This window comes from Homo sapiens, chromosome 14 (assembly GCF_000001405.40).
Source record: "Homo sapiens chromosome 14, GRCh38.p14 Primary Assembly".
Taxonomy (NCBI): Eukaryota; Metazoa; Chordata; class Mammalia; order Primates; family Hominidae; genus Homo; species Homo sapiens.
In genome coordinates this window covers 74,303,656-74,317,787 of record NC_000014.9, presented here as the reverse complement: position 1 = coordinate 74,317,787, position 14,132 = coordinate 74,303,656, and the positions used below count along the sequence as shown (strand labels likewise).

Below are 14,132 nucleotides of genomic sequence, written 5' to 3'. Positions count from 1 at the left end.
CTGTATCCTCCAGGCTGGAGTATAGTGGCACGAACTCTGCTCACTGCCACCTCCACCTCCCAAGTTCACGTGATTCTCATGCCTCAGCCTCCCAAGTAGCTGGTATTATAGGCACCTGCCACCACACCCAGCTAATTTTTGTATTTTTAGTAGAAACGGAGTTTCACCATGTTGGCCAGGCTAGTCTTGAACTCCTGAGCTCAGGTGACCCACCCACCTTGGCCTCCCAAAGCGCTGGTATTACAGGTGTGACCCACCGTGCCTGGCTCACTATTGACATTTTGGACCAAGTAATTATTTGTCATGGGGAGTTGTCCTGTGCATTATTGTAGGATACTTTGCAGCACTCACTAGAAGACAATAGCATCCGTCAGTTATGACAACCGAAAATATCCAGATACTGAACAAATGTCCTTGGCTGGTAGGGAGAGTTGGGGAGAAGTATGTAAGATAAGCTAGAGCAAAGTCACCCTGGTTGAGAGCCACTTCTCTACAGCTCTGTACCATTCTATAGTCCCCACCAACCTGTCCCTTTCTATAGTCCCAACCATGACTCTCTCACCTGAAATACCAGAATAGCTTCCTATCTGATTTCCCTAACTCCATTCTAGCTCTCCATACAGCAGCATCCAGGGTGATCCTTTTAAATCATCCACCAAATTTTGTCACTCTTCTGTTTTTAACCCTCCAATGGCTTCCTGTAACAATAAAGATTCAAATTTTTTATGATAGTGTGCAAGACTCTACATGACCTGGCCCTTGTGCATTTCCTATCACTCTCCCCTTGTTCATTGCACTCTGGCCATGCTGGCTTCTTTGCTCTTCCTTGAACATCCCAAGAATAATCCCTCCTTGCCGGGCGGTGACTCACACCTGTAATCCCAGCACTTTGGGAGGCCGAGACGGGCGGATCACGAGGTCAGGAAATCGAGACCATCCTGGCTAACACAGTGAAACCCCGTCTCTACTAAAAATACAAAAAAATTAGCCGGGCATGGTGGCGGGCGCCTGTAGTCCCAGCTACTCGGGAGGCTGAGGCAGGAGAATGGCGTGAACCCGGGAGGCGGAGATTGCAGTGAGCCGAGATCACGACACTGCACTCCAGCCTGGGTGACAGAGTGAGACTCCATCTCAAAAAAAAAAAAAAAAAGAATAATCCCTCCTTTGGGCATTTGCATTTGCTGTTCCCTTTGCTTAGAATGCTCTTCCCTCAGAATCTGCATGGCTCCTTCCTTCACTTCATTCAGGTTGTTTGTTCATTTGTTTGTTTGTTTGTTTGAGATGTCTCGCTTTGTTGCCCAGGCTGGAGTGCAGTGGCGTGATCTCGGCTCACCACAGCCTCTGCCTCCCAGGTTCAAGTGATTCTCCTGCCTCAGCCTCCCAAGTAGCTGGGACTAGAGGCGTGCGACACACCTGGCTAATTTTTATATTTTTAGTAGAGACAGAGTTTCACCATGTTGGCCAGGCTGGTCTTGAACTCCTGATCTCATGACCCACCCACCTCAGCCTCCCAAAGTGCTGGCATTACAGGTGTAAACCACCACACCCAGCCTCATTTAGGTTCTTTAAAACCTCCTCGGAGAGTCCTTCCCTGACCACCCTATCCCAAGAAGCACCTCCACCATCATCCTCTCTCCCCATATGCTGGGTGATGGACATGTTGACCCCCTGCCCAGATTCCCTTTCAAGGCAGGACTTGTTGCCCCAGCTGCTGGGAGTGCCGTAAGCAGACAGCCTTCAGCTATCAGCTCCTTTGAGAATTGCCTCAGCTACAAGAGAGAATTTGCCTGAGTTTACGCCCTTTGCAAGATATCCCACACCCAGTGACTGATTGGGGTGGGGTAGAAAGGAGGGCCACTGTGGCCCAACAGGAAGCAACTGAGATGGGCCATGTCCACTCTGGTGCTCCCCATGGGGTCGGCTGAGGCTGTAGTAGGGCCTACCTCTCAGCTTGATTCCTCCCTCTGCCCAATCATGCTTCCTTCATCTCCCTACCAATATGCAATCTCTATAGTCATTGAGCATGATAAGCATTGTCTCAGGGTGTGGATCCAGTGGACCCTACTTGTGACACCCACTGTAGTTTTCTTAGCGCTATCTGATTTATATTTAATATTGTTTTGTATTTGCCTAAGGTCTGTGAAGGCAGATACTTTGTCTTGAAACTGCTATATCTCCAGCACCTATGCCTGGCACATACAGAGTAGTTACTCAGTAAATGCTTTTTGTTTGCTTTTTTGTTGTATTGTTTTGTAGAGACAGGGTCATGCTATGTTGCCCAGGCTGATCTCAAACTCTTGGCCTCAAGCAGTCCTCCCGCCTCGGCATCCCAAAGCACTGGGATTATAGGCATGGCCACCACACCCGGCCTGGTCAATAATTACTGAATGTTGAACGAATTATCACTGTTGCTGGTTGCGGTGGCTCATGCTTGTTATACCAACTACTCAGGAGGCTGAGGCACAAGACTCGCATGAATCTGGGAGGTGGAGGTTGCAGTGAGCCAAGATCACACCGCTACAAGCCAGCCTGGGCGACAGAGTGAGACTCCGTCTCAATTTCAAAAAAAAAGAAGTATCACTGCCATCTCCTTAATACTGTTGGGGCTCAGAAAACAATACCCCAAAGTATGGCACTTTGGCATGCTGATACTTTGAACTGAAAGACATTGGAAGGACCTCAAAAGCAAAGTCTCTTTCTTCTCTTCTCCTGTTCTTCTTTCTCCTGCTTCCCTTCCTCTCCCAAGGCAGGCCATAGAAACTAGAACCCTTCTTCTTCAAAGCCAGCCATAAAACCTAGAAATAGGACTTTAACCTTCCTCCATCCTTCTGTGTAGGAGCTGGCCATAAAATTCTGACCTACCTTGTCTGAAAATAGACCATAAGACCTTCATTTCAGAAGGGGCACTGCCCTAAACCCAGGAGAAAGGAACACCACACAAACAGGCCAAGAAGAATCTGAACAGAGGCCTTGCTGGGTTTCCCCACTCAGTCTGTTACTATTAGATCATTCCCTTTCTGTCTAATCACATTTCAACACAGCTGTCATGCTTCACTGAATCTAAGCATAAAAATGAACAGTTTTTGGCTGGACGCAGTGGCTCATGCCTGTAATCCTGGCACTTTGGGAGGCCGAGGCAGGCGGATCATGGAGGTCAGGAGATAGAGACCATCCTGGCTAACTCGATGAAACCCCATCTCTACTAAAAATACAAAAAAAAAAATTTAGCCGGGTATGGTGGTGTGCACCTGTAGTCCCAGCTACTCAGGAGGCTGAGGCAGGAGAATTGCTTGAACCCAGAAGGTGAAGGTTGCAGTGAGCCGAGATTGTGCCACTGCACTCCAGCCTGGGCCACAGTGTGAGACTTCATCTCAAAAAAAAAAAAAAAAAAAAGAACAGTTTTTTTCTTGAGTCTTTTGGTCCTCATTTCTGAAGGCTCCCACGTCACATACAATTACACAATTTTGATTAGATAAATCTGATATGCTTTTAGATGGACATGGTGGTGTGCGCCTGCAACTCCAGCTACTGGGAAGGCTGAGGCGGGAAGATAGCTTGAGCCCAGAAGTTCAAGGCTGCAATGAGCCATGATCACACCACTGTACTCCAGCCTAGACAACAGAGCAAGACCTTGTCTCTAAAAAAAAAATTAAAAGAGAAAGTTATAAATTGCTTATGCTTTTCTCTTGTTAATCAGTCTTTTGTTATAGGAGTGGTGGCCATGACCCTTATGATAAAGAGGAGATTTATTATACCTTTCCACCCCTTCAATACTCTAAGATTACTCTATGGTTGGGGAGTCCTTTGGTGATATCTAATATAAAGGCTCCAGCTGTTTTTCGTTTTTTGTTTTTGAGACAGTGTCTCGCTCTGTTGCCCAGGTTGGAGTGCAGTGGCACGATCTCAGCTTCCCAAGCATCTGAGACTACAGCTTGCACCACCACACCCAGCTAATTTTTGTTTTTGTTTTGTAGCAATGAGGTCTTGCCATGTTGCCTAGGCTGGTCTCCAACTCCTGAGCTCAAGCAATCTTCCTGTCTCAGCTTACCAAAGTGCTGGAATTACAGGTATGAGCCACCACGCCCAGCCAAGGCTCCAACTTTTTAACAGACTTGCAGGGGCCTTAATCTTTCCAAAATGATTCCAGGGTGGAAAGAGGCCAAGATGGTTTCAGATCTAGAGGACGTGACAGCAGGGCTCTGCTCAGCTGACAACTCTGTCCCTCCTGCTCACAAATTTAATAGGCTGTTCTCACTTGGGGAAGATGTCACCGTCCTTTGAACCAGCTACACTGCAGACATTTTGACCTGGTCAGCCCACAGGATAAATTTTAGATTAAGCAGCTATTCTTGAGTATTTTAACAAACTTTCATTTTTTTTAAGAACTTTCACATTGCTCAGGAATTTCTTTTTTTTTGCTCAGGAATTTCTTAGGATGGCCATTAGATGTGAGTCGCTTTATCATTCTAATTTTATATACAGGGAAACCTAGGTCAGAGGAGTAGCTTCATTCATCACAGAAGTGTTTAGTGAACACCTTCTATGTGCCAGGCGCTGGGCTGGGTATTGGAGGTTGACTAGGCAAGCTCCTTGGCTAGCAAGGGAAACAGACAGGTCCAACTCTGTCTATAACTGAGGTGTGAACCAAGAGCTTGGAGGACCAGAAGATAAAATGATTGCTTCTCTTTTAGGGTATAATCTCTGAAAAAAATTTATTGTATAGGTAACATTTTAAAAAACAAAACACAGGCCAGGCGCAGCGCGCATGCCTGTAATCCCAGCACTTTGGGAGGCCGAGGCAGGTGGATCATGAGGTCAGGAGTTCGAGACCAGCCTGACCAACATGGTGGAACCCTGTCCCTACTAAAAATATAAAACTTAGCCAGGCGTGGTGGAGTGAGCCTGTAATCCCAGCTACTCAGGAGGCTGAGACAGGAGAATAACTTGAACCTGGGAGGCGAAGGTTGCAGTGAGCCACTGTACTCCAGCCTGGGCGCCAGAGCGAGACTCTGCCTCAAAAAAAAAAAAAAAAACACAGGCCAGGTGCGGTGGTGCGTGCTTGTAACCCCAGCGCTTAGGGAGAGTGAAGAAGGCAGATCACTTCAGCCCAGGAGTTTGAGACCAGCCTGGGCAACATGGTGAAACCCCGTCTCTACAAAAAATACAAAAATCAGCTGGGTGTGGTGGCATGTGCCTGTAGTCCCAGCTACTCGGGAGGCTGAGGTGGAAGGATCACTCGAGCCTGGGAGGTCGAGGCTGCAGTGAACCAAAACTACATCACTGCACTCCAGCCTGGACTACAGAGTGAGACTTTCTCTTGAAAAAAAAGAGAGATTAAAAAACAAAACACTTAAGCATATGGGCTCTTTAGTCAAACTGCCTTTTGCTCTCTCCAATCCTTGCATTCTGAATTCCTACAGATTGCAATCAACTTCAGTGGGTGCACAGTTATGCACACACAAACATGCTTTTAAAAAACAAAATATGGAGCCTATCTTCTTTTAAACTTAGCTATATTTGGGATATATCCAAAGATGTTAATTGCAGCATTATATGTAATAGCAAGAGACTATAACCCACTAAAATGTCTGTCAATAGGAAACTAGATATATAGTTCCTCTGTAGAGACAGTCCCTGACTTATGATGGCACAATTTGACAATGGGTTTGTCACAAACTTAACAGTGGAAAAAAGTAATTACTTAAATCTGTGTATGCTGGCTGGGCGCGGTGGCTCATGCCTGTAACCCCAGCACTTTGGGAGGCCAAGGCAGGTGGATCACCTGAGGTCAGGAGTTCAAGACCAGCCTGGCCAACATGGTGAAACCCTGTCTCTACTAAAAATACAAAAAATTATCCAGGCATGGTGGCGGATGCCTGTAATACCAGCTACTCAGGAGCCTGAGGCAGGAGAATTGCTTGAACCAGGAAAGCAGAGGTGACAGTGAGCCAAGATCGCACCACTGTGCTCCAGCCTGGGTGACAAGAGCGAAACTCCATCTCAAAAAAAAAAAAAGTCTGTATATGCTGATATGGAACAACTTCCAAGATATATTACAAAGTGTAAAAAGAAAGCTGCGGCCGGGAGCGGTGGCTCACCCCTATAATCCCAGCACTTTGGAAGGCCGAGGCAGGCAGATCACCCGAGGTCAGGAATTCAAGACCAGCCTGGCCAACATGGCGAAACCCCGTCTTTACTAAAAATACAAAAATTAGCCAGGTGTGGTGGAGCATGCCTGTAATCCCAGCTACTTGGGAGGGAGTAGCTTGACCCCAGGAGGCAGAGGTTGCAGTGAGCCAAGATCACGCCACTGCACTCCAGCTTGGACAACAGAATGAGAGTCTGTCTCAAAGAGAAAAAAAAAAAAAAATGCAAGCTGCAAGGCAGAGTGTTTAAAAGGAAAAGGAGTATTTGTGTTTGAGTGTGGGTATGTGTGAAATATATTAATACATATAAGTTTGCATATATATAAAACATTTCGGGAAAGATTCCTAAGAAGCTGTGAACAGCTTGGCTCTGGGGTGGAAGACAAACTTATTTTTTATTATATGCCCTATCATCTTTTGCAAAATTTTTTTTAACCACATGCTTTTCAATTTTTCAATTAAAAAACTAGTTGATTAAATGAAACAATAGGGCATGGACATTGTTCAATGTTTAATATTAATGTCACATTCAGCTCTTATTATTGCCAGGTAATGTTTAAGTCTTAATATCTATTAACTTGTTTATTCCTCGAAACAACCCTCTGATGTGGAAACTATTATTACCCTCATTTACAGATTTTAAAAAACTGAGGCTAGGTGCAGTGGCTCATGCCTGTAATCCCACCACTTTTGGAGGTCAAGGCAGGAGGAACGCTTGAGGCCAGGAGTTCGACAGCCTAGGCAACATAGTGAGGCCCTGTCTTTACCCCCCCAAATTTTTTTTAAAGAAAAATTTAAAAACCTCACCGGGTGCAGTGGCTCATGCCTGTAATCCCACCACTTCGGGAGGCCAAGGTGGGCGGATCACTTCAGGTCAGGAGTTTGAGACCAGACTGGCCAAGATGGTGAAACCCCATCTCTACTAAAAATACAAAATTTAGCCAGGCATGGTGGCACATGCCTGTGGTCCCAGCTACTTGGGAGGCTGAGGCAGGAGAATCACTTGAACCCAGGAGGCGGAGGCTGCAGTGAGCCGGGATTGTGCCACTGCACTCCAGCCTGGGTGACAGAGCAAGACTCTGTGTTTAAAAAAAAAAAAAAAAAAAAACAGAGGCAGCATGCCCCCAAGGTCACACAAATACCAAGTGATAGAGTGGGGATTTGAACCCATGCAATCCGGCTCTGAGGTCCATGTTCTGAATCACTATGGCAATGCTACTTCTCCTTTTTTTTTTTTTTTTTTTGAGACAGAGTTTTGCGTTTGTTGCCCAGGCTGGAGTGCAATGGCGCGATCTCGGCTCACTGCAACCTCTGCCTCCCACGTTCAAGTGAGTCTCCTGCCTCAGTCTCCCGAGTAGCTGGGACTACAGGAATGTGCCACCACGCCTGGCTAATTTTGTATTTTTAGTAGAGACGGGGTTTCTCCATGTTGGTCAGGCTGGTCTCGAACTCCCAACCTCAGGTGATCCACCCGCCTCAGCCTCCAAAAGTGCTGGGATTACAGGCGTGAGCCATGGCACCCGGCCATCTCCTTCTTATTAATAGCTGCAAAATATATTCTACACAGTGAGGGTGTCATATTTTGTTTAACTGCTCCTCCTTTGATAAGCATTCTGGTTGCTTCTAGGATTTTGCTATTACCTTCTATGCTGTAGAAACATCCTTGTGATTGACCCTTTGTCCTTTGTGCTTTTGGGTAAATATATTTATAAGAGAATTCCTGGAAATGAAACTACGGCATCATCTAAAATTTGACAGTTATTACCAAATTATTTTCCTTTTTTAAAAAAAACATCAATTTGTCTTCCCTTTATCTATGTATAAGAGTGAGGAAGTAGCACAGGACTCTAGGAGCTGAAATAAGGGAAGTTTGGTCCCATTAGAAAACAGTATAAGCAGAGACAGTGACCTGTGGGTTTTTTAAAATTTTATTTATTTACTTTTAGAAACGAGGTCTCGCTGTGTTGCCCAGGCTGGAGTGCAGTGGTATGATCATAGCTCAGTGCAGCCTCTAACTCCTGGGCTCAAGCAATCCTCCTGCCTTAGCCTCCGTTGTTGAGGCTGCAGTGAGCCCTAGCCTCACTGTGTGTTTTTTGAGGTTAGGGATTGTCTTGTTTATCTTTGTTCAACAAACAGCACAAGAATCACTTAAGAGCTTTAAGTGGGCTGTTGATTTGGTTTACATTTGTGCACATTTCTCTGGCTGCTTTGTAAAAACTGGATTAGAGCCGGGGGAAATTCAAGTGTATAAACCCAGTTAGAAGATTTTGCAAATATTTGTTAAACAAATAGCTACTGTGCTCTTACGAGTGCTTCTGGAAAATGGGGACACAGTAGTGTGAACACAACAGACATGGTCCCTGTCCTCTTGGGGTGGAGCGAGAGAGGCATGAATGAAGTAAACGCACAAAATGAAAATATAACCAGCTGCAATAAATGCTAGAAGCAGGAAAAAGTGGGGTGCTGTGGAAGGAAACAATAAAGGGTGGTTAGGAAAAGACTCTCTGGGGAAGGGACATTCACAGCGGGGATGGAAGGAAGAATAAAAATCACCGGAAGAGTAGAGGAAAACAAGGTTTGTTTTCTAGCCCCTAAAGAGGTTCAAACAGAAATTAGCTGGGCATGGTGGCATAAGCCTGTAATCCCAGCTACTCGAGAGGATGAGGCACAAGAATCACTTTAACCTGGGAGGCAGAGGTTGCTGTGACCTGAGATCATACCACTGCATTCCATCCTGGGCAACAGAGCAAGACTGTCTCAAAAAAAAAAAAAAAACAAACAGAAGTTGGAGCAATAGGCAAGGCCAGGGCATAAGAAGCCTTGAAGAGCAGGGTGCAGTGGCTCGCGCCTGTAATCTCAGCACTTTGGGAGGCCAAGGCCAGCAGATCACTTGAGGTTAGGAGTTCGAGAGTAGCTTGGCCAACATGGCAAAACCCCATCTCTACTAAAAATAACAAAAATTAGCTGTGCGTGGTGGCGGGTGCCTGTAATCCCAGCTACATAGGAGGCTGAGGCAGGAAAATCGCTTGAACCCGGGAGGCAGAGGTTGCAGTGGGCCGAGATCACACCACTGCCCTCCAGCCTGAGCAACAAGAGCGAAACTCCATCTCAAAAAAAAAAAGAAGCCTTGAAGGGCTTTAAGTGGACTGTTGATCTGGTTTACATTTGTTCAGATTTCTCTGGCTGCTTTGTAGAAACTGGATTAGAGCAGGAGGAAATTCAAGTGTAGAAATCCAGTTAGAAGGTTTTGCAGAAGGACATGAAAATGAGATAATAGTAGCTGGTCTAAAGGGGTAGAAGAGGAACCTATAAACTAAAAGAGTGTTAAATGACATATGATCAATTGCAATGTGTAGACCTTATTTGGATCCCAATTTTTTTCTTTTTTTGTAGAGATGGGGGTCTAGCTATGTTGCCCAGGCTGGTCTTGAACTCCTGGGCTCAAGCAAACCTCTGGCCTTGGCCTCCCAAAGTTCTGAGACCACAGGTGTGAGCCACTGTGCCCAAGTGGATTGTGAATTTTTTAAAAACCTAGAAAAGAAAAAAATAAAATAAAAAGAAAACATCGATCACAGTTATGAGCTAATTAGAAATTTGAACTAATTTTAAGTTGGCTCTAAACCCGGTGGCTTACACCTGTAATCCCAGCACTTTGGGAGGCTGAGGCAGGTAGATCACAAGATCAGGAGTTCGAGACCAGCCTGGCCAATATGGTGAAACCCTGTCTCTACTAAAAATACAAAAATTAGCCAGGCGTGCTGGTGGACGCCTGTAGTCCCAGCTGCTTGGGAGGCTAAACAGGAGAATTGCTTGAACCCGGGAGGCGGAGGTTGCAGTGAGCCAAGATCGCGCCACTGCACTCCAGCCTGGGCAACAGAGCGAGACTCCATCTCAAAAAAAAGAAAAAAAAATTGGATCTTATCCAAAAGATAACTCTGAAATATAAACTCAAATATTAACAACCAATATGATATATGGCCTTTTGCTATGCTTCATTATGATTTTTCTATGCAGATATTTACATCTATATATATTTTCATAGTTGAGATCACATTTTACATCAAGTTTAGTATTGGTGTAATACTTTTTTTGTTCAATGCAATACACTCTTTTTTATTGTGAAAGCTGAATTGAAATTAAAAGATCTATAAAAAACTGTCATTTTTGGCCTTCAAGAGCACCAACTCTCATGATCAAAAAAGGCCACAACAGGGCCAGGAGCAGTGGCTCACGCCTGTAATCTCAGCACTTGGGGAGGTGGAGGCGCGTGGATCAACTGAGGTAAGGAGTTTGAGACCAGCCTAGCCAACATGGTGAAACTCCATCTCTACTAAAAATATAAAAAATTAGCCGGGCGTGGTGGCGGGTGCCTATAATCCAACTACCCAGGAGGCTGAGGCAGGAGAATCACTTGAACTTGGGAGGCAGGGGTTGCAGTGAGCCCCAATCCAGCCTGGGCAACAAGAGTGAAACTCCATCTCAAAAAAAAAAAAAAAAAAAAAAAGGGCCACAACAGTTAAGAATGTATTACTTGATTTATTGTATACTAAGTGGTGGGCACAGAGCAATTCTCCTTATAAAGTTGACAATTAGCTTCACTCAGAACATTTTAAATAATGCACATTAAAACAAGTATTCATTTTACAAGTTGTTCTGCAATCTAAACATACAATAGCTTGGAGGACAATATTTAGAAAACAAAAGCCAATGTAAAAAGACAGATTAAAACAACTAGAGGCCAGGAGCGGTGGCTCCGCCCTGTAATCCTAACACTTTGGGAGGCTGAGGCAGAAGCATCGCTTGAGCTCAGGAGTTCTAGACCAGCCTGGGCAATATAGTGAGACCTCATCTCTATTTAAAAAAAAAAAAAAACTTAAAAATTAGCTAGGCATGTTGGCGCATACCTGTAGCCCCAGCTACTCAGGAGATTGAGGTGGGAGGAGTTGGAGACTGCAGTGAGCTGTGATTATTATCCCACTGCACTCTACCTGGACCACAGAGCAAGAACCTGTCAAAAAAAAAAAAAAAAACCACACATACACAGACACACACACACACACACACACAAACCAACTACACTAGAACAGTATAGGTTTTATATGGCTTGAATTTCACAGTTTTCTTAACTGCATCATCAGTATCAGAAATCTGTTCTTGGCCAGGTGCAGTGGCTCACATCTGTAATCCTAGCACTTAGGGAGGCAAAGGTGGAGGATCACTTGAGCCTAGGAATTTAAGACTAGCCTGGACAACACAGTGAGACACCTCCCCCCAACCCCTGCCTTCTCTACAAAAAAAATTTTTTTTAATTAGCTGTGTGTGATGCCAGCACCTACAGTCCCAGCTACTAAGGAGGCTGAGGTGGATCACTTGAGCCCAGGAGATGGAGGCTGCGGTCAGCTGTGATCCCACCACTGCACTCCAGCATGGGCAACAGAGCAAGACTCTGTCTCAAAAAAAAAAAAAAAATATATATATATATATATATATATATATGTATATTTTTACATATATATATTTTACATATATATTTTTACATATATTATATATATATAATCTTTAAATTTAAATTTTAAAAAATCTGTTCCTTCAGCTGGCTTCTTTGCTCCAAATTCAAAGAAATACCTTCTCTTCCTGGTTTCATTTCACCTTCTGGATCCATCCAATATTATTTAATATCAATTACCCTTTAAAATCCCAAACACTGGCCCGGCTTGGTGGCTCACACTTGTAATCCTAGTACTTTGGGAGGCCAAGGTGGGCAGATCACTTGAGGTCAGGAGTTCAAGACCAGCCTGGCCAACATGGTGAAACCCTGTCTCGACATAAAAGACAGAACTTAGCCAGGCATGGTGGCGAGTGCCTGCAGTCTCAGCTACTCAGGAGGCTGAGGCAGGAGAATTGCTTGAACCTGGGAGGCAGAGGTTGCAGTGAGCCAAGATCGTGCCATTGCGCTCCAGCCTTGGGGGACAAGTCTAAAAAAAAATCCCAAACACTAATGTACCTCATTTTCCTAACCTGAAACATCATGTTATCATCTGTGCTGCTGCTGCTGTTCTCTTTGGAAGATGATAGAGCTCTTCAAGTTTCACCAGTCTTTTGCTTCTTTACAGGTCTTTCTGGAGCAACCTGCTTTTTCCTCTTTAACTTTTTGTCAACATCACTGTCAGAACCGCTGCCAGAAGAGCTTGAAGAAGTAAGTTCCTTTGATTTGGGCATTACTCTGCTCTGCTGCACTCCAGTAGCCTCCCGCTTGCTCACTGGTAACTCTGGTGTATTACTTCTTCTTCTTCTTTTTTTTTTTTTTTTTTGAAACAGTCTCACTCTTGTCACCCAGGCTGGAGTACAATGGCACAATCTCAGTTCAATGCAACCTCCGCCTCCTGGGTTCAAGTAATTCTCCTGCCTCAGCCTCCCAAGTAGCTGGGATTACATGCACCCGCCACCACACCTGGCTAATTTTTGTACTTTTAGTAAAGACGGGATTTTGTCATGTTGGCCAGGCTGGTCTTGAACTCCTGACCTCAGGTGATTTGCCTGCTTCGGCCTCCAAAAGCGCTGGGATTACAGGCGTGAGCCACCGTGCCCAGCCTGCTACTTCTTAAAAGTTTACAGTAATAGACAATGCTGAGGCACCCTGGGACAGTAATGCCACCGAATACCAAACTAGGACATTTTTGAGACTGAAAGGGGACAAGATCTGTAAACCTAGATTACCCTAGAGAGGTGACGTTGCTTGCTTTAATACTTTGGTTGCCTTATTAATTTTTCAAAAATTGCATCCTATTTTTTTGGTTTTCAAAATAAGAAAGACATACTTGAATAAAGTTATTTCCTCTTCAAAGTCTTTCTAGATTCCACTTTTCCCCATGCTGAGTTAAATGCCTTTCTCTTTGGTTCTGGGGCAGTGGTTCTCAATGCTAGGGGGTGGGGTAAAGCTGGAATTTTGGTCCTTTCTCCCCTAAGGGACATTTGGCAATGTTTAGAGACATTTTGGGATGCCTAGGTCAGAAGGAATGCCACCGGCATCTAGTGCGTAGAGGCCTGGGATACAGCTAAACATCCTACATTGCATAGGAAAGCCTACACAGCAAAGAATGATCAGGCCCCAAAACTTAATGGCGCCAAAGTTGAGAACCCCTGCTGTATGGTATGTTTGTCATAGCACTTCATAAAGACAGCTGTAGGCCGGGCACGGTGATTCACACCTGTAATCCCAGCATTTTGAGAGGCCAAGGTGGGTGGATCACCTGAGGTCGGGAGTTCGAGACCAGCCTGACCAACATGGAGAAACCACGTCTCTACTAAAAATACAAAATTAGCCGGGTATAGTGGTGCATGCCTGTAATCCCAGCTACTCGGGAGGCTGAGGCAGGAGAATCGCTTGAACCCGGGAGGCACAGGTTGCAGTGAGCCAAGATAGCACCATTGCACTCCAGCCTGAGCCACAAGAGCGAAACTCCGTCTAAAACAAAAACAAAAACAAAAAAAGGCCAGGAGCGGTGGCTCACTCTTGTAATCCCAACACTTTGGAAAGCCAAGGCGGGCAGATCACCTGAGGTTAGGAGTTCAAGACCAGCCTGACCAATATGGAGAAACCCTGTCTCTACTAAAAATACTAAATTAGCTGGGCGTGGTGGCACATGCCTGTAATCCTAGCTACTCGGGAGGCTGAGGCAGGAGGATGGCTTCAATCCGGGAGGCTGAGGTTGCCGTGAGCCGATATCGCGCCATTGCACTCTAGCCGGGGCAACAAAAGCAACACTCCGTATCAAAAAAAAAAAAAAAAAAAAAAAAATCTGTAATTGTCAACTGATTGACCTACCCAGCTAGACTGCAACTTTCATAAAGACAAGTGATACATGCATGTTGTAGAGTGTTTGGCTTGCAGTTGAAACTTAATAAGGATTGGAGGAAAGTGAGAAGACACATCCAGATTCAAATTTAGGGACCTGTGGGATCATGCTGTTTGGGTTTTTTTTGAGC

At 45.0% G+C, this 14,132-nt stretch overlaps 1 protein-coding gene and 1 pseudogene across 1 annotated transcript in view; both read right to left on the bottom strand.

Annotated features, from left to right (window-relative positions):
- Window positions 1-14,132, bottom strand: part of VRTN (vertebrae development associated) — a 57,016-nt gene that overhangs the window by 42,221 nt on the left and 663 nt on the right. The gene's annotated exons all lie outside the window — the stretch shown is intronic.
- Window positions 11,725-12,365, bottom strand: SUB1P2 (SUB1 pseudogene 2; annotated as a pseudogene).